Consider the following 21,116-nt stretch of genomic DNA (forward strand, 5'->3'; position numbering starts at 1 on the left):
CTAGATGCAATAGGAATAATGGGACTAGTCTTGCTCTCAAATTTTTTTAAATGTTTTGATGTAGCTAGGTAATTATACATAATTTAACATAAAATCAGTCTTTGAGTGATACCAGACAAGGCAAAATGGGAGATCCTGTTCACTCATTCCATTAATACCTAAAGAGAGGTTACTCAATGGAGTTGAAAGGCAATATGATTTTTGAATTCACACTTTTTGAACAAAAGGGACATTCCAGTTGCATATCTCATTTAAATGACAGAAACCGCATGCATACTTATGTACACACCTCTCTAACATAGTCCCAATACCCATACAAACACAAAACAGGCCCTAACTGCCAATTTCACTTTTATAAAACATATTCTGAAAATTATAGGTTTGAAGTGCTAAAAATTTGAAGAACATACTTCAGCAAGTCAGAAAATGGTGGAAATTTTCCCCCTTTTTAATGTAAAGAGGCAGATCATCAACAGTCATTTGCTGAAAAGAAACTTGCTCATTTTTAAACAAGACAGAAATTAAAACTGATGTTGCTCCTGTGTGTGTTTGAGTAATGACACAACCAGGCATTAGTTTAAATCAGCTATTGCTGCTGCAATCAATTTTCTCCTAAATTTATCAAGCATTGTGATGCCTGATTTACTGACGTTTTTGATGTCTTCCCAATTTAAAAAAATTTCCTCAGCCTCAAAACTTATTGTTTTTTTCTGTAAAGCCACAAAAGTGTTCTAATTTTTCTAAAACTAGCCAGAGGAAATAAGGAATAAATAAAAAACCTGAAACCATATAAACAAAGTTGCATTAAGAAATAGAATTCAGGAAAATACCATGACAACAGTCATCACAGTCAAATCTAATGGAACAATTAGACAATTCTGATTATTAAGTTTCTGCCCTTCCATTGGCTAGATAAAATTTTGAAGAATTCCCATGAGCTTCAAGTCATAAGAAAGAAGTTTGGGGCTGGGTGCAGTGACTCACACCTGTAATCCCAACACTTTGAGAAGCTAAGGTGGGAGGGTCACTTGAGACCAGGAGTTTGAGACCAGCCTGAACAATATAAAGAGACCCTCTCTCTAGAAAAAAAAATGTTAAAAATTATCTGGGCGCATTGGTGTGCACCTGTAGTCCCAGCTACTAGGGAGGTTGAGATGGGAGGAGCATATGAGCCTTGGAGTGTGAGGCTGCAGTGAGCTATGAACATCCCACCAAACTCCAGCCTGGGTGACAGAGACCCTGTCTCAAAAAAAGGGAATGGAAGGGAAGGGAGAAGGATGGAAGGAGGCAGGGAGGGAGGGAAGGAGAGAGGAAGGGAGAAGTTCGAACTGCCTTCCCTCCATGGTAGAAGTGAATATACTCATTCATTGCCCTGGCTGCATGGGATAAAGTGGACAGGAGAACTTCTAGGGGCATTACCTAGCCAGGGCCACTATGTGTGATAGTAAAACAGACCAAAACAGACAGTGATCTCACAGTTTTGATGGTTACATGGAAAAATACACACGTTTACTGACTCATAACAAATAATTACTGAGTACCCATTATATGTCAGACTGAACTAGGCAATAAGGACCAAAAGACAAATCAGGCAAGTCTGGTCCCTGCTTCATGGAATCTGCAATCAAACTCACCAAACTCAGAAAAAAAATATATATATATATATATATTCATATTTATATTATATATTACAGTAATACGTATAATTCATCCAGTGCTTACTATGTGCCAGGCAAAAGTGTTTTATGTTATTATCCTCATAATCAAAATAATAGCTACTACTAAGAGCTAGGAACAGTCATTGTGTTAAATATTGCAACTCTATAATGAGAGTGTTTTCTTCTTTATGCTTTATCAGCACTTTGTGATGGGAAGAGTTGCTTAGAGAGGTAGAGGGAATTGTTCAAAGGTCACAGATAATAATGGCAGAATGCAGATTTGAATACAGATATACCTAATTCTAGAACCCATGCTCTTAGCTACCAAGCCCACTATACCCCACAATGCACCATTATGGTCTTCCACACTAGGCCTTGTCGAAGTCATCGGCAGTGAAGAATGAGATGTTAAAATCAGATGTGATATGCATGGGGACAGGAGCCATTCAAAGGCCGGTTTCATCACTGAACAGCTAGACCTCCGTTCTGGTTGGCCAACCTCAGGAGCTGATGGATACAGGTTGGAACCAAGCCCAGGGGTCCTCCGGAAGAATCTAAAACAGGCAAAATAAAATGTCTTCCAAACAGGTGCTGCCTGATGACTTCTTCTTTGGGCATCAGCAAGGAGGAGGAGAACATTCCTACTGATTACCCTAAAGCAGTTGCTCCCAACACAGGGAAATTTTTCTCCCTGTTCCTCAGCAGAGGACATTTGGCAATATGTGGAGACATTTTCAGTTGCCACAGCTGTGCATAGGCTGCTACTGACATTTAGTAGGTTGAGGTCAGAGATCCCACTAAACATCCTACAGGGCACAGCACAGCCCCTCATAATAAAGAATTATCTGGTCCAAAATGTGAATAGTGCTACTGCTGAGAAGTCCTGCCCTAAAGTATCCTGTGCTAGCTAGTAGATTTTTCTATGAGCTGTAGGCATGAACCTGTGCCCCTAACTTGCCAAGAAAGGAGCATTGCCTAGATTGTAGTCTACAAAATGGGGTACAGAAAGAAAACAGTGTGTCTTCCATTCATATCTCTGCATCTTAATGTTCTTATTTCATGTGTATGCTTTATTATGCTCATAAAGTAATAGTACAATAGTACATGCATACAATTTGTATATAAACAAATACACATTTATTGGAGGTATATGCTCAGAAAAGTTTACTGATAGGAGCACATAATCAGAGAATGCTGGAAATCATTAGACTAGAGAAAGGACTATTGATTTAAACTCAAGGAGATCTAAGATCAAATCCCCAACTTAGCTTCTAATTAACCTTGGTTTAACCATCTGTAAAACGGGAAGAAGAACAGTCATCTCTCAAGATTGTATGACAAATCAAATTCAATTATGTACTAAACACCTAGCACATAGTAATTGCTCAATAAATGCTCACCTCCTTCACCCTCTCCTCCCCTCCTTGTCCTAGGTTTGAGGACTCTGAACAAGGTCAAAAATTCTCTGTCCTGAGTGTCATCATCTGCAATCTAATTATGAATGTTCCACCTACTTTACAAAGTTGGCATGAAGGATTAAATAAGATCACTGGTATTAAAGTGCTACCAAAAATACAAAGGATTTATAAATATAAAGTTGTTTTCTTAAATAGAGATCATACCACCTTTTATTAAGGTATTCCTGATAATCACTTCTTTGCCCAATTTGGAAACTCAAAGGCTAACATTCTAAAAGGAAGGAGCTTGAGTAAAATAAACGCATGTGGCTTTTATTTTCTGCTTACCCTATTTCACCATCTTAGCTGAGAAAGTACTTAAATATTGCAAAATCAGGAATTTCAACAGTGATCTATCCAATTAATCAGCATAGTGTTTTGTTATTTTTTTCCCTGGAGGGAATTGATTCACAGTCTGTGAAAACACATTGCATCACACACTGACCACGCAGAGGGGCACAGACGCTGGGCACCTCCTGGACTGTGCTGACGTCAAATTGCAAGGGCATGTGGCCCCGTGCACTCCCAGATCAGCACAATTCTCCCACCCACTTATGGTCTGGGATTCATGCTTGATCATCTACAATTCCAAGTGCGTATTTTTAAACTTTTGAAAATGAAGTGTGTTCATGCAAGCACTCTCCAGAAAGGTCAAAAGCAGGCGGGAGCTGCGGCGCCTTCAACGGAGGGCACTGTACTCCTGGAACCTCTCCCAGTGGGAGCCTAGGAGATGCAGGGAGCTCAACCCCAACCTAGATTTCTCTGGCATTTTCTGACTCTCTCTCCTCACTCTCCCTAATAGAGTTAATAACAATAATAGCTCACCATTTTAAAGCACTTCAGATTTTTTAAAACTGTAATGAATATTATCTCCTTGATTCTTTGAATTGCAGTTGCTTACTTACTTACTTGTATCAACCACTCTAGACGCTGAACTTCTTAAGGGCACAGGCAAGAACTTTTTCATGTCTTGTTATTCCCAGAGCCTGCCTAGCACGTGCATGGCTCATAGTAGGTGCTTAATATTCATTCCTTAAACTCGTGACTAGATGAAAAAATATTATCATCCTCTTCTAAACAATGAGAAACCTGAAATTCAAAGATATTAAGCCGTGTGCCCAAAATATGCATTTATAAGTTACAAAGACAGTTCTGAACTCGTTTTCCGATCTCAATTTCACCAGAGACTTCAATATAGAAGGTAATTCTTACCTAAGTGAGGTAACTAGAAAGGAAGCTGAATGTCACTCCCCTGAGTGCAGCAATGAAGGAGCTGCCAGGATACAGAAGGGGACACCAACAGAACCAGCAAATTTACTAAGGCCAATTCCCTTTTCTTGTGTCCCCAGCTTCGTCCTACATAGACAGGTGTATCTGCCCTATGTGCGTGCATGGCTAGTATATCTAAGAAAAGGTAAGTTGGACCCTGAACTTCACCTTGATTCAGAATCTGATACCATATTGGCCAGATCTCGAGATCTGGAGTGAGATGGACTGGGATGGAATCCAAGCTCAGCCACTTATAAACGTAGGTCCCTTGGGCAAGTTGCTTAACCATTTTGTCCCTCCATCTCATCTGTAAAATAGGGAAATTAACACAGCTTACTTCATAGAGATGTTGTAACAATTAAATGAGTCCATACATTTTTAAATGAGCAAAACAATAATAAGTATATGGCTGTAGTGTACTAACAAATATTAGCTATAATTTTTCTTGCACAGGTATATTCTACCTCCACGATGCTATTTCCTACTGTTTCATCGCCTAAGCCAGCCAATGTCTTATCATCACTCTCTGGGTTATTCCAAAGGCTTCCTAACTAGATTCCTCGTCTATTGGCTCACCGTTCCCCAACACGTCTTTCTACGCCCTTTCTACAACTTCATCTGATCATGTGACTCACTTGCCTGCATACTCATGGCTTCCCCACATCCTGGAGGATGCCGTCCAAACTCTTTCATATAATCTTCAAGACGTTTCTTGATGTAAGTCCAACTTCTCACTCAAACCACATCTCTCATGTCTTTCCTAGGCTCTACTTTGATCTTCGAGCACAATCCATATAAAATCAAAGCAGCATTGTTTACCGATCATGCAGCTTTGATATCTGCACATCCTATAAAAACATTCTAGGTGCTGAAAGAAATGTTCATGAATTAACTTCATACCATAACTGACTATTGAATAATGTCATAATTAAGGGCCTGAGCTTTGGTAATAGGCAGATTAAAGTTTCAGTATCAACTCTGACATGTATTAGCTGTGTGATCTGGGACAAGTTACTTAACCTCTCTGAGTCTCTAGCTGCATTTCTTCACTTGTAAAATGCAGATAATTTTCTATTTTCCAAAGTGTCATGAGAATTAAATGGAATAATGTATTCTAAGTATTTATAACAATGCCTGGTGCCTGGTATACTCTCAAAAATGGCAGCTAAAACTAAAATCCTCTAGTGTACATCAACAGTAAAAAGGCTTATGGTGATAATTGGGCAACTTGTTGGGGATCCTGGAGCCAACTTGCATAACAAACTAAGCCCCCTAATGTGTAAGCCCTCAGCGAGAACCACAAGGCCTGCTTCTAGAAAAGCCAGCAAGCATCTGCTTTAAGACAGCTTTAAATAAGCACTAAGCACTTGGCAGCCCACACGTATCCTCCTAGCCCATTCTTACCCAAGGAAAGCTGAGACAACAATGGTTGTGTCCCTTCCTACTCTCTTAGCATAAATAATTAGGGACATACCTAAGAGCGTGGTCATTTCCAGGCCTACTGCAAGGGTCTACACATATCCCCTCCAGGACAGCAGTGATTAGAGACGACAGCACCTGAAGGTAGGCCTTTGACAGGACAAAATCAGCCTTGTTGGTGGACACCTGCCAGCCTGACCTAGAGCAAAGACCCAATGGCAGTTGCCAAAGAGTCTTCATGTCATGCTTCTAATCTAGTCTTGGAAACCCACAGGCCCTACTCCATCGCCCCCGAGTCTCAGCTGGTCAGGGCACAACTGATTATTTTCCTTTTTTTTTTTTTTTTTTTGAGACAGAGCCTTGCTCTGTCGCCCAGGCTGGAGTGCAGTGGCGCGATCTCGGCTCACTGCAAGTTCCGCCTCCCGGGTTCACGCCATTCTCCTGCCTCAGCCTCCCTGGTAGCTGGGACTACAGGCGCCCACCACCCGGCCCGGCTAATTTTTTGTATTTTTAGTAGAGACGGGGTTTCACTGTGTTAGCCAGAATAGTCTCGATCTCCTGACCTCGTGATCCGCCCGCCTCGGCCTCCCAAAGTGCGGGGATTACAGCAGTGAGCCACCGCGCCCGGCCGATTCTTTTCCTTTAACTCTCACACCCCATTGTGTGTTAACACTTATGTAACTCCAGCCTACTTTGGAAGGACAACTCCTGATGTATAGCTGTCCAGACAGAAACGCTATGACATTGCGGCCTTTTTCCTGGAGCTGGAAGCTGGAAAAAAGTCCCTTCTTATCAAGCAACTTATAAAATTGATGCTACCTAGAAAAGAGTACATATGTGTGCATACACACGTACATGCATATGTCCAGGCATGTGTGTGTGCATGTGTTTGTGTGTGTGTGTGTAACACAGAAGGAGAGAGAAAAAGGAAAAGATTTCTCTGCCTCCAAATATTCTTAATTGATTATCTAACATGGGATGTTAGCTCAGGTAATTTAGGAAATTGAAATTATATGTTTGTACAGAGATAATCTATGCTTAAAAATATCTGGTGTGGTAGGAGGAACACTGATGAACAGTTTAAAAACTTGCTTCATGCAGGCTTAATATGGGGCTAATTCAGAAATACAGAGTTGGAGAGTTATGAGACTCAACATAAAGCGAAGCAGTTCACTGAGCGCTGTAGCGATCAAGAAAACACACATAAAAATTCCGATCAGAATGGAATGTGAGGCAAAAGCACAATTTCCTCCCAATCTGGAATATCAGCAGGATTTGCGCTTGTTGTTTGTGGTTTTCTGGGGTGGATGGTACATTACAGTGGAGCATCAGCACTAATGCTACATGGCAGCTCCTCAGAATACCATCTGCTTCCCTGAGAACTGTTAATATAGTTGTAATTATCTACTTCTAAGCACTTTATTGGGAATATCATTTGCAAATTAATCAACTACAGACTGGTAAAACAAATGACATGCTTCCCTGGAAACAACAGCAGTATTGCACATTCTTTTCCTAAGGATTAAGGGAAGCTGGAGTGAGTGAAGGGGTTTTACACATGCCTCGAAAACTGTGCCCTGTGTATAAAAGTTGAGCAGAAAGAATGACAGCATAGTGTTTTCTAAAAAGGTCTTGGGAAGATATTGGCAACAGGGAAGAGGAGGAAGACATAAAAACCTAAGAGATGGGTAGGACTGCCACGTGAGAGACAAGAGGCAGACAGTGGACTCCAACTGACAGCTCCACAGTGGTGGAGACAAAGATTCCCAGAGTCCTCTGCACTTGCTCTCTTGACTAGAGTGTGCCGCCTTCAGTCTTGCCCTCCAAATCTTCCATGCTGTCTGTGGTGTGTCGAAGGCCATTTCTCTCTGCTATAGGGCAAGAAGCAGGAGTGTTAAGGGGAGAGAAAGGGAGCACTGGAACGCTAATCCTTAATTCCCCCACCATCACTGAAATGCTCACTCCCAAGAAGGTACAGATATGTAAGTAGAAAAGCAAAGTAATGCCCGAGACCAAAAGGAGAAAAAGGCAAAAGATCTACTTGGCAGAAATGGCACAGGAGAGTCAGGGTACTTTGTATTTATGCAAACACCAAGTATGTTGCCTTGTGCTGCTCATTGTAACCAACAAAATGGCTCTAAGTCACGGGTCCTTAAGTCTGTGGCTTCAATCCAGAGGTCCAGCAGAAAAAAAGAATCTTAATCACCATTGAACAGAGCCCTAAGTGCACCTTCCTTTAGCAGCTAATCCAAGAGCCAAAAGACAAGGAAATACCGCTCTTGCTCTCCTCTGAAAAGGCCCTGCCTCCCAGCCTGGCTGTCACCTGGAAAGAGAAGGACTCAGTCTCCCCAGGCTATACCAGGCTATAACAAATGGCCCTTCTGTGATTTCACCAGCATCTTGTCAGCCCATACTTCACACAGCAAAAGAGAATCAGAGAAGCACACACAGAGAGAATGGGATTGTGCACACTTGCGTGGGATATGTAGTATGCTTTATGTGATCAGCTTAGGAAGACCCGAGCTGACCTTCACTGATTGAAATGATGGCTTATTGGCCTCATTAAATTACTGTTAAAAGAATTACTAAGACTTTTTCGGAGAGAGAAAAAAAAATTATTTGGAATCAGACAATCCTGGTGGTGAATCCTGCCTTTGCTAATGACTTGCTTAATCACACTGTGCTTGAGTTTACTTTTTTAATCAATGAGGTTTTGATCTTTTTTTAAAGGGGTTTACATGCAACTTTGAAATACTTATTACGGAAGAAAATAAAGACATAAATGAAGACATTTTAAACCAAACTTAGAAAGGTTTGACAGAGAGAAGCTGAAAGAGAAAATGAAATAATACCATATGAACATCCATGGTTTTCCTCCCTCCTGTAGGTAGAGAAGGAATGGCCAAGAAAGCTGTAGTGGGGAGATATCCACATTGAATTAAAGCAAGAAACATTTATTGAGCATTTACTATACTAAGCAGATTGGCTTGTCATACCTTGGGATACGGCTGTGAGAATGTGCTCTCCTATAGAGAGGGCAAACCCTATTTCTTATTAGTTCTTATAGTTCACCCCTACTCCAGACTAGAAAAAGTGAGATAAATAAATGTTCTAGGCATGGAGCTAGGTGGATAGAATGACTCATTTGACTTTTTTTCATCTGCTGTTTAAATGTGTGTGTAAACCTCCCAGGTAGGTATTTTCACCAAGTGTATTTGACACAAGTATTATTTATCCAGCCTGATCAGACCTCCCCACTGTCTGGAACAACCTCACAACAAAGGCCCATCCATTTTGCAGCTAACTCTTTTTTTTTTTTTTTTTTTTTTTGAGACAGAGTCTCTCCCTGTCGCCCAGACCGGAGTGCAATAGTGTCATCTCACCTCACTGCAACCTTCACCTCCTGGATTCAAGCGATCCTAGTGCCTCAGCCTCCCGAGTAGCTGGGACTACAGGCATGCACCACCATGCTCAGCTACTTTTTGTATTTTTAATAGAGACAGGGTTTCACCATGTTGGCCAGGCTGGTCTCAAACACCTGGGCTCAAGTGATCTGCCCACCTCAGCCTCCCAAAGTGCTGGGATTACAGGCATGAGCCATCACACTCAGCCCATTTTGCAGCTAACTTCTTAAAACCTGGTGTATTCCGGAGCTGACGTACTCAAAATCGGCTCTTCTTCAGGAGGAGATAATGAGGTTCTTTCATAGTTGAGAAAATCCGCTGAGACTTTTTTTGCCCTTCAGTTTTTGTTTTTGTTCTTGCTTTTGATTTTCTGTTCTAAATTATTTCTTCCATGAAACATAGCTTCCTCTAGGGCCCTAGTCTCTTCCTTATTTAAATATTTGAGGTGGATTTAAAGGAACAGTTTCCAGAATATACAAACAAACCTTAATACCAAAAAACAGGTAGAAAGAAAATCTTACACAAGAGGGAATGAAGTTAGTAAGCACCCGTTAGATTTCCTGATCAACCAAGATTCTCCCTGAGAAGAGAGTATTCAACAAGCCTCAAGACCTGGTTTTGGAACTGTGACCTTAGGTGCATTGTTTAAGCTCTCTGTGTCTTCATCCTAAAATGGAACTAAGTAATATACCTACCACTGTTATAAAGACCACATAAGAGATAACACATTCAAAGCACCTGACACATAGTAGGTCATCACTATGCTATGTCTGCATCTCACTTACAAAGTCTGGGGCAGCCTTCAGCAGACTCCGGAATGACGGCAATGTGTGAATACATGCATGTGTTGAGTTGAGGCAAGGAGAAGCATAAAATGTGAGCTAAGGACATGAAGAGTTTATTTGTCCCTTAGGTATTTTCTCCCAGCAATCTCAAGCAGAACTTCAGCTAGCTTGTACCACATTCATCTTCTGAAGAAACAACAGATCATGAAGCTGATTAAAGAATTGTAGCCCTGCTTCAACTACCTGAGATGTGAAGGCAGAATTAACAATGGGTTGAGCAATTGTAGGAACCTAATATTCCTTCCTGTCCTATGGTCTTCTTAGACCATTCCATACCGTCATAGAAGTGGGCCCCAAAGACACTAGAATGTGGTGAATTGGAGGTGTCTAGTTAGAGGCTACTGCCGTTGTTCGGATGGAAGAGCATGAAGGTTTGGAGGGTGTTGGATGGTGACCATGGGGACAAGAGAAGGGGCCTGGTATAAGAGAACATGGAGGCTAGGCATGGGGGCTTATGTCTGTAATCCCAGCACCTTGGGAGGCCGAGGCAGGCAGATCACCTGAGGTCAGGAGTTCAAGGCCAGCCTGGTCAACATGGTGAAACCTCATCTCTCCTAAAAATACAAAAATTAGCCCTGTGTGGTGGTGCACACCTGTAGTCCCAGCTACCCAGGAGGCTGAGGCAGGAGAATCACTTGAGCCCAGGCGGCAGAGGTTGCAGTGAGCCAAGAGTGTGCCCCTGCACTCCAGCCTGGGCAACAGAGTGAGACTCCATCATGAAAAAATAATAATAATAAAATAAAATAAAAAGAAAACATGGAAAGGCAGAAATATCAGAATATGGCAATTTATTTGAAATAGCCAGTGATTCCCCCCGATTTTTAGCTAAGGTGTAGTCTTCTAATGTTTCTATAAGAAACATGTAATATTTATACAAAAATCACAAAACTTTTTTAAAATTGTTAAAATAAATGACATATTCCAAAAAAGGAAGGTACTTGTAATATTCTAAGGCTTTAATCTTGAGTGCCTGGGAGAGAATGCTGGCGCAATTCATACAAAGTTAGAAAATTAAGACAAACATGTTTTCCTGTGTGTGGATAGGAAAATGGTGATGAATTTACCCAGAGACCTGTTTAATCTAAAATATTGCTAGGGTGCAAAGAAACAATGGCATATAACAAGTGTTCAATAAATGCTTGTCAATGGAATAAATAAATGACATACACTATCTGCTCTGAGAATTAAGGAGCACCAGATAAAAGAGCTAGGCAAGACTCTTACCAAGCCTGGTACACAAAAGATGAAATGGTAATGATAGCTGCAGGAAAAAAGAGATTCCACAATGAGTTTGAAAAGCCCTGGACAAAACCATCCACACAAGTTTCTTCACATCTTGAAGGATACAGAGAAACTAGCAGGTGGATGAGGCAGTCAGCGAGGAAAGACGGAGGTAGCTGTCATCAGCAAATGCTAGCAGGAATACAGGGCTGGCCCATGATGTGGATACCCTGTGCAGACTAATGATTTCTCACCTTTTCAAAAAGGCATTCAAATGTTGCTTAAACATTTATTTAGAAGAGTGGCTGAGAGTTTCAGATAGGAAGGATGCAGAAAGGAACATTTTTCAATCTTTTCTAGAATGTTCCCAGCAATTCAGCTCTGGCCCAGACTTCCATAGCCTACTCAGCAAAGCAGTTACCAGCATCCCTCCTCTTCAGGAGGTGGTTTAGGAAACACCCATTGTTGCTCAATGTGCCTCTTGAGATGATCAGTGCTCAAGCAGCAATCATGGAGAAGATAACCACATTTAGTCTTTTTCCTGAATAGAGTAATTTTATATTGCTTTTTTTCATCTCCAGTGACATTTCCATGTCCCTTTGAGATTCATGCCCCAATGTCCTTGATTCTGCTTTGCCTGAGATGCACATTCATAAGGTCAATCCTCTCCCAGTACAATCACCAAGTACAAGGTGGGGACCACATAAACTTCTTCAGATTAAAACAATTGTAGTGCTATTTGTGTGGGACAAGAAAGAGGGGCTTATTTTCTCCCTTAGGATTCCAAATTTTCAGCTGCTTCTGAAGTAGTGGTGGCAGAAAGGTGAGTACACAGGATAACTGGTATCCAGCCAAACCTCTTGGAGATGTTTTATGGTCCCACAACCCTTGGCAAAAGTGCCAGGAAGTCCGCTCTGCCTTTCTGCAAATGCCAGCACACCAACGGGGTGGTCACACCTGGGCCAGCAGCGTGCTTTGAACTCTTGTTATCTGGCACCAACTGTCCCTGAATCTCTCTCCAAGGCTGAGAGCAGCTGTCAGATCAATGCCTGCAGGCTGGGATTGCTACATTCCCGGGCCGAATCTTACAAACAGCAACCAGGTTATCTCCTCCGTCATACTGGGCTCTAGCTTGCCCTGAATTCTTCAGTGAAGGAGTCATTTTTCTGTCACTGCCTGCGTCACTGCCTCACCCCATGAGAGCCACCATCAAGATAAAGCCTCAGGGGAGGCGTCCTGCTCAGTTAACAATTGATCAATCAAAGAGTTGTCTCCATTATTCTCTTAACTCTTACCTATCTTCACTAAACACCTACAGCCACTGGCTGGACTCCAGAGGCCCCTCCTCCCCTCCTCCAAACATGGACGCTTCTGGTACTAGTCATAAATGTGAAGATAGGGATGATGTTTGGATATTTGATGATCAGTGTGGGGTACCTCAGACCTGGTACCGGAGGCCATACAGACATAAGCCAACACAAAGGCCACTTCCACATTCTGAACTCACACCTCCACCTGCCCATCCGTCCTGTTGAGAAGCCCCATGGAGAGAGTTCTTCCTGCTGATAATGCCTAGTCACAGAGTCCCATCAGTAAAGAGAAGTGATTTCTCTCTTTAGACAAATTTTAGACATAAAGTTTGAGGATTTCTCTCCTTAGGAATAAGTCAATTCATTTTGAGGACTAATATCCATAATCTATAAGGAACTTAAACAAATCAGCAAGAAAAAAAGAGCCCCATTAAAAAGTGGAACAAAGGAGATGAGCAGGCACTTCTCAAAAGAAGACATACGAGCAGCCAACAAACATGAAAAAAATGCTCAATATTACTAACCATCAGGGAGATGCAAATCAAAACCTCAATGAGATACCATCTCACACCAGTCAGAATGGCTATTATCAAAAAGTCAGAAAATAACAGATGTTGGCGAGGTTGCAGAGAAAAGGGAATGCTTATACACTGTTGGTGGGAACACAAATTAGTTCAGACACTGTAGAAAGCAGTTTGTAGATTTCTCAAAGAAATAAAAATAGAATTGCCATTCGGCCCAGCAATCCCATTACTGGGACATGGTCAAAGGAAAATAAATCCTTCTACCAAAAAGACACCTACACTCACATGTTTATTGCAGCACTATTCACAATAGCAAAGACATGAAATCAACCCAGGTACCCATCAACGGTGGATTGGATAAAGAAAATGTGGTACATATACACTATGGAATACCACACAGCCATAAAAATGAATGAAATCATGTCCTTTGCAGCAACATGGATATAGCTGGGGGCCATTATCCTAAGCAAATTAATGCAGGAACAAAAAAATGAAATAATGCACGTTCTCACTTATAAGTGGGAGCTAAACACTGGGTGCATAAGGACAGAAAGATGAGAACAATAAACACTAAAGATTCCAAAGGGGAAAGGGAGGGAGACAAAGGTTGAAAAACTACCTATTGGATATTATGTTTACTATTTCAGCTACTGGATCATTAGAAACCCAAAGCTCAGCATTACACAATATACCCATTTAACAAACCTTCACATGTACCTCTTGAATCTAAAAAAAGAAAAGGAAAAGTAATATGTCCATTTGTTTTACAATTCCTTTGCACAACTCTAGGAACTACTAAAAGAAATAGCAAATCCTACTCACCCACTCATCCCGTAACAAGATGGTGGGGAAAAAAAAATGAGGACATCTCCAATACCCACAAAAGAAACTGTAACATTATTTTTTTAAATTTTTACACAAAATAAATCGTAATTCATTCTACTTTTTAGAGGAAACTTTTAGAAGACAGGGAATAACAAAATTGAACAGAGAATGAGACGGGGAGTCACAGATTTGGGGAAAGAGAAACAAGAAAAAGATAAAATGTTTCCCTCCGAAGAGTTCTGAGTTTGGACATTCCTTAAATTTTTACTATATTTTATTACATATATATTAGTATTAGCCAATTTATTGAACACTTACCAGGTGTCATGTGCTGTGTATGCATTCTATAAGCATTAACTTGTTCATTTTATTTAATCTTTATGGCAAACCTAAGACGTACAATGGTATTATCTTCATTTTATACCTGAGGAAATTAGACAACTTGTCAAAGGTCACAGAATGAGAGATGGCAGAACCTGGTTTTTATCAATGTCTTTCTGACTCCAAAATCTGTGCTCTTAGTCATTCAACTGAATTAACTCCCAAACAAAACTAAAATTTCATATAAATAAAATGTATTACTAATCTTTACCACCAAACATAGAGGAAATATTTGCATATGCATCATAGTACAGAGGAAATGTATAAAATGGTAAGTTTTGGCTGACTGCAGTGACTCAGGCCTGTAATCTTAGCACTTTGGGAGGCCGAGGCAGGAGGATCACTTGAGGCCAGGAGTTAAAGATTGCCGTGAGCTATGATCACACCACTGTACTTCAGCCTGGGTGACAGAGCAGACCCTCACTCAAAAAATAAAGTAAAATTTTCAAAAGCTTGACAATGAATGGAATTGTTATACTTAAATTAACTAGCTAAAATGATTTGGTTTGTTCCAATAACAGTAAGACCGTTCTTCACTCAAAGTTCACCATTCCTTCTGGTAGGAGAATAAAAATGTTCTAGAAACATCCCAGATACTGCAGCATTTGGAATGTTAATTTTAGCAAGTCCCAGTGTTTGGAACATCTGCCTCACTGAGAGATACCCATTGATAACACACTGGGGGGAAGGTAAAGGGTACAAGAGAAGCATGTAATTCAGGGACCATCTCCAAGGGCAAAAGATATCATCATGATGTTTGACTCTGGGCTTGAGTCAAAAAGCAGAGGAGGCTAAAAAATGTGCTTTCAGTTGTCAAGAGAATAAATCTCATCCTCCCATCCTAGAGGCAGAGTGAAGCTCATTAGCATAGAGTAGAAAGTCCTCCAGGACTCTTCATCAACCTTCTGTCCACACTGCTGTGCATTACGCTTGTGAGAGACAGTACCTTGAGGTAGTTAAGAAAACAGTCTCAAAGCCAGGATGCATCTCTTGATATCCCAACTTTTTAACCCATTAAATACATCAACTTCTCTGTGCCTCAATTTCCTCATCCATCAATGGGAATAATAATAATACTTATCTCATAGAGTTAGTGTGAGAATTTGATGAGCTAACGTATACAAAGTGATTGCGATTTTGTCCAGCAAATGGCCAATGCCACATACAAATGTCTGTTGCCATTGTTATAAAAATTTAAAGTGATTACACTGAATCCCTCCTTTCATATTCTATAAGCAGCATCAAACTCCCTAAGAGAAATTCTTGAAAAGTCCAAGGTTATACTGTAGCATCTTCTTTTAAAGGTCCTAGGGAAATGGCAAAAGTCTAATTAAATTTGTTCTCAGAAACAAAAATTGATTTTCTTTTTCAATAATTCTATTAATTGAATCTCCTCCTTCACCTCAGCCAAAGACTAGAACTTTGAAGAACAAACTCTTGTCTTTGTCATTTAAATAAGTTAGTATTATACTACTTTGTCAATAATAACACCTTTTACTGGCAGTTAGACACAATACTAAACTGGCTACTAATCTATCTTATGCCACCTCCCAAATAATCAAAATAATGCAAATATAAACCATCTTCATACATAAAAATTAGCAAAAGAAACAAAACTAAGCAAAAAATTATAATACCTAATGCTGGCAGAGTTGCAACTAGGCACATATACTCAAGCATACCTTTTGCGTAACAGTGTAAAATGTTTTGACCCTTTTGGAAAACATCATGACAGTATGCTTTAAAAAATTATAAAATTTACCCCTATAAATTTGTATTTAAAAACTATTCAAAAGATGAAAGCTATAGGCACAAAGACAGAAGGGTTTTTATGGTAAAAGGAAATTATGAAATATACATATTATAAATTGCTTTATTTTCTCAATTTTATGGTACTTTTGTGGATTTTTTTTTTTTTTTTTGAGACAGAGTCTTGCTCTGTGGCCCAGGCTGGAGTGCAGTGGCACGATCTCAGCCAACTGCAACCTCTGCCTCCCACGTTCAAGCGATTCTCCTGCCTCAGTCTCCCGAGTAGCTGGGATTACAGGCATCCGCAACCATACCTGGCTAATTTTTGTATTTTTAGTAGAAATGGGATTTCACCATGTTGGCCAGGCTGGTCTTGAACTCCTGACCTCAAATGATCTGCTTTCCTCAGCCTCCCAAGGTGCTGAGATTACAGGCATAAGCCACTGCGCCTGGCCCTTCTTTGGATAATTTTTAACATTTCTGAAGTTAGACTACATCTTGTTTTCAATGTATACATGTAAAGTGGTGATATTTCTTTTCTTCTTTGAAAAGCTGTTATGAAAGCAATGATGCATCTTAAAATCAGTGGCATCTTATGATCAAGAAAATGCAATAGTATGCCATCATTAAAAATAGTAACTATGGAAGTTGTACAGAAACATGAAAATATGGATTACAACCACATTAAATTTTATATAATTTAGGGCTAAAGTAGAAAGGACAATATAGACAAATTCAGTTTGATTTACAAATAAAATGTTTTCCTTCCTTCACTTAGCATTCCACTAATGTTACTATGATATTACACATGTGTTAACAGTTTTCCCTTTTTTAAGAAAGAAAGAAATATCCCTTCTCTGAGACGCAATTCCTATAAATAAGATGGAAGTCAAAAGTCAGCTAAATGTTCTTATTGATGATAAGCCAAAAACTCAAGAGTTTAATTCCTATCACCAACCTACATTCCAGTAAGAGTTGAGTAGGGGCATTGATGGGAAGGGGCACGACAGTGTCGTTACTGAGTGCAGCAGCCCTGTCTTCACACCCTGGGGGCTGCAGTGGGTTGGGAGGAAGCCCAAAACCTAACCAAATCCCTCAGATAGATTATGGAACCCATGCAGACTGCACGCCTACTGTCACATTGGACCAAAAGAGAATTGGGATCCATAGAAAGAGGGAGAATGGAGATAAGACGTTAAGAATAAGACAGGTACTCAAAAATGGGAAAGGGGTCAGTAGGTTGCTGAGGAGATGGGAAATAAAGAGAGCTCTGGAAGGAGAAAAAGTTAATGAGAAACAAAAGACAGAGTGCATAGAACATCCTCAAGGACACATCATACAGGTTCTTGTTAAAGGAATAAATAAGTGAAAGAATGACCTAGCGATGCCTAAATGCTAACACAATACCTGGTCTGGCATATGCTCAGTCATTTTTTCAAACACTTATTCGTTCACTCATTCTGAAAATATTTACTGAGCATGTCTTATACGGCAGGCAATTGTCTAGACAAGGTAAAGAAAGCATTGAACAAAACAGACAAAACTCCATGCCCTTGAGGAGCTTACATTATGGTGCAAATGGGGGCAAAGTGGAAAGGGGAGGTGGAGATGACTGATCATAATAAGCAAATAAAGAAAACAAACAAAACATGAGATCATGATGCAAGCCATGGAGAAGTGCAAGAGTTCAGGGAGATGAGAGTATTTGGGGGTAAGAGAGAAGCCTGCAGTTTTAAATTGCGTGCTCAGGAGAGACCTCACTGAAAAGGTGATGTTTGTGAAAAGACTTGAGGAAACTACAAGAGCAAGTCATATGGATATCTATATCTAAGGAAGGGGGAGAAAACAGCAAGTGCAAAGGCCCTGAGGTAGAAGCATGTCACGCATGTTCAAAGATCAGCAAGGAGCCCAGTGTCAATGCAGCAGAGATGAGCACAGAGAGGGAGGGGCTGGGGCTTCAGAGACAATTTGAAGATCACGACTTTTACCCTGAGTGATATGGGGAGCCCCTGAAGGGTCTTGAGCTGAAGAGGGGAATGATGGAACTAGTTTTTAACAGAGCCTGCTGCTGGATTGAGAACAGTCCACAGGAGAAAGGAAAGAATCAGTGAGGTCAGTTTGAAGCCTGTTTTAATAACCTAGCTAACAGGCTTGGACCACAGCGATAATTGAAATACACTAAAGAGTGACTAGGGCTGGGCACGGTGGCTCACGCCTCTAATCCCTGCACTTTGAGAAGCCAAGGGGGGCAGATCACGAGGTCAGGAAATTGAGACCATCCTGGCTAACACGGTGAAACCCCGTCTCTACTAAAAATACAAAAAATTAGCCGGGCGTGGTGGCAGGCGCCTGTAGTCCCAGCTACTCGGGAGGCTGAGGCAGGAGAATGGTGGCCACTGCACTCCAGCCTGGGTGACAGAGCGAGACTCCGTCTCAAAAAAAAAACACACACACACACAAAAACAAAACAAAATAAAAAAAAAAAAGAGTGACTAGATCCCAGGGATGTTTTGAAGCTGAATCCCATGAGATTTACAAATGGATTGCCTATGGTATGTGCTAGAAAGAGTGGGGTCCAGGATGACTCCAAGCTTTGGGGGTCTGAACAAATGGAAAATGGAGCTTCTAGGTGCTGAGATGGGAAAGGCTATGGGAGGAATAGGTTTGGATGGAGAAAATCAAGAGTCACCCTTGGGAACATCATAAGTTTGTGAAATGATTAGATATTCAAGCAGAGTTGTCCTGTTGACTGGAGCTTAGGTGGAATGAATATCTGTACAAATGATCAAAGGACAGAAAAATGAGAAATTAAAACTGAGAATGGGACCAAATGAAAGGAGAGAGTCAGAAAGATAAAACAATAATACTAATAAGGAAACAAAAGACAGAGGGACAAAGAAAGAAACCACCCACAAAACGGGAAAGGATGAGAGGGAGGCAAGGTGAGAGCTGTTTCCACGCGCTCACATTGTCAGGTAACCCTCCCATCTACCATTTCCCCTTTTGCCATTCTGCTAAACTAAGAACATGTGTCTGACTCTGCCGCCGCCTGACACTAAATACCAGTGACATGATGATTTCCTGTAAGTTTGTCTTAAATGTGCTCACGTTTGTCTGAAATGTGTTCATTCCGGCCGGGCTGTGGGATCACAGGAAATTGGAAATCTGTTCACAGCTCAGAGGCACCCAGCCTTCTGCATCATACACTGCCGACCCAGCCTGCATCCTCTTTAATAGATGTTCGCCGTGGAATAAGAATTGTTTTCAGGTCCTTCTTCTGCACTCCTGACTTAGGTAGGCTGGGGAAAGGCTGTTCACCATTAATAAGGAGGATTAGGGAGACATGAAGAGAGGGAAGGTGGAAAACGAGGTGGGGAATTCCCCAGTCAGCAGCTTTCTCTGTCTGCTCTTGCCTGCAGTTAGGTACCAAGGCTGATTTAAAGCAAAGAATTAGCTCCTCTGGAATAATCCCAGGAAAGCTATCTCGCAGCCTTTCGTTTTGGGTTTATTTCCTTGGTTCCACATTTCTACAGCAAAGCTGGAGGAGCTAAGGTAACACAGAAGTCCTGGGGCTTGCCTTACCACTTACTGGCTGTGTCATCTTGGGCAAGTCACACAACCTGCCAGCGCTGGGCTGTCTCATTTGGAAAAATGAAGATAATTAGTCGTTGCCTTCCAGAAGGCAGGATGCCCAGCCAGATGATCTGGCTCAACCCCTTCCAGCTCTGAGGTCTATGATCGTGTGATGTTTATAGATAGTGAAATGCACAAGGGCAGGAGTTGAGAGATGTGAGCAGGAAACAGATGAGCTCGGTCACTCTCCCACACCCCCTCCAAGTGGAACTTCTTATAGGATCTTTAGTCAAAAGAGAAAACCCCTATCTTGGCTCTCTGTTATGTGCACAGTAGTGGAACATGAAACAATGAGGAAAACCACATACTTTGCATTCAGCCAAAGCTGGGTTTGAATTCTTGGTTCTAACACTTCTTTTTTTTTTTTCTTTTTTGGATACGGAGTCTCACTCTGTTGCCCAGGCTGGAGTGCAGTGGTGCGATCTCGGCTCACTGCAACCTCTGCCTCCCAGGTTCAAGCGATTCTCCTGCCTCAGCTTCCTGAGTAGCTGGGACTACAGGCACACGCCGCCATGCCCAGCTAATGTTTTTGTACTTTTAGTAGAAACAGGGTTTCACTGTGTTGCCCAGGCTGGTTTCGAACTCTTGAGCTCAGGCAATTTGCCTGCATCAGCCTCCCAAAGTGCTAGGATTACAGGTTCCATCACTTCTCACAACATAGCCTTGGGCAAATGACTTCCATTCTCTATGTCTTAGGGGACTCATTTGTAAAACGAATATAGAATAACACCAAGAAATCCAGGTTGTTGAGAATATTAAATAAGATGATATCAACAGAGAGCAGGTGGTCAGAAATTAAATAAACAAATAAATAAGTAAATAAAGATGATAACTTTAAAATGCCAAGTTTATCAGTCATGGTACAGACATAAAAACAGAAATCATTGTAGGTATTTTAGACAGGAGGTACTTAATACAGAGGATTGTTTATCCAGGTGATGGACAAGCACCCAGCATCCCCTCACCTCCAACCTCAGCTCAGGCTCTGGACCTCCAAACCCCAGCCTGAGCCTAAGATTCCAGCATCCTCATTACCTGGGAGAGAAAATCAGACATTAATGAAAAATCTGAGAGCAGACTGATGAGAGGAGAGCACTGAGCACCCGAATTGTTGGGGCACAAAATGGTGATGAGAGGCAAAAAATAACTTACAGGATTGCCTAGTGCTTGCAAGGAACACCTTTTTCCTAGTCTTGGTTTCCATGGGGGAAAGATTTCCCTGGGAAACAGCTGTCTTTCCCCATCCGATTATAGTGGAGGAATGGAGTGATTCATTTGTTTGAATTTGGGAAGAACTGAGCCTGCGCAGCTCAGCTCAGCTCCATCCTCATCTCGGGCACCAGCTACTCTCAGGAAGCTGGCATTCCCTTCAGCAAGCACCAGTGGGATGGGGGAACATCCTGCAATGATTGGATGGATAA

The 21,116-nt window shown here is 41.3% G+C and overlaps 1 protein-coding gene and 1 long non-coding RNA gene across 13 annotated transcripts in view; one reads left to right on the plus strand and one right to left on the minus strand.

The window, feature by feature from the left end:
• Positions 1-21,116, minus strand: part of PPARGC1A (PPARG coactivator 1 alpha) — a 680,885-nt gene that overhangs the window by 415,012 nt on the left and 244,757 nt on the right. The window lies entirely within an intron of this gene.
• Positions 939-2,245, plus strand: LOC124900679 (uncharacterized). Its single transcript, XR_007058075.1, has 2 exons — positions 939-1,015; positions 2,031-2,245. It is a non-coding gene; the product is annotated as an uncharacterized LOC124900679 (long non-coding RNA).

Source organism: Homo sapiens, chromosome 4, assembly GCF_000001405.40.
Source record: "Homo sapiens chromosome 4, GRCh38.p14 Primary Assembly".
Taxonomy (NCBI): domain Eukaryota; kingdom Metazoa; phylum Chordata; class Mammalia; order Primates; family Hominidae; genus Homo; species Homo sapiens.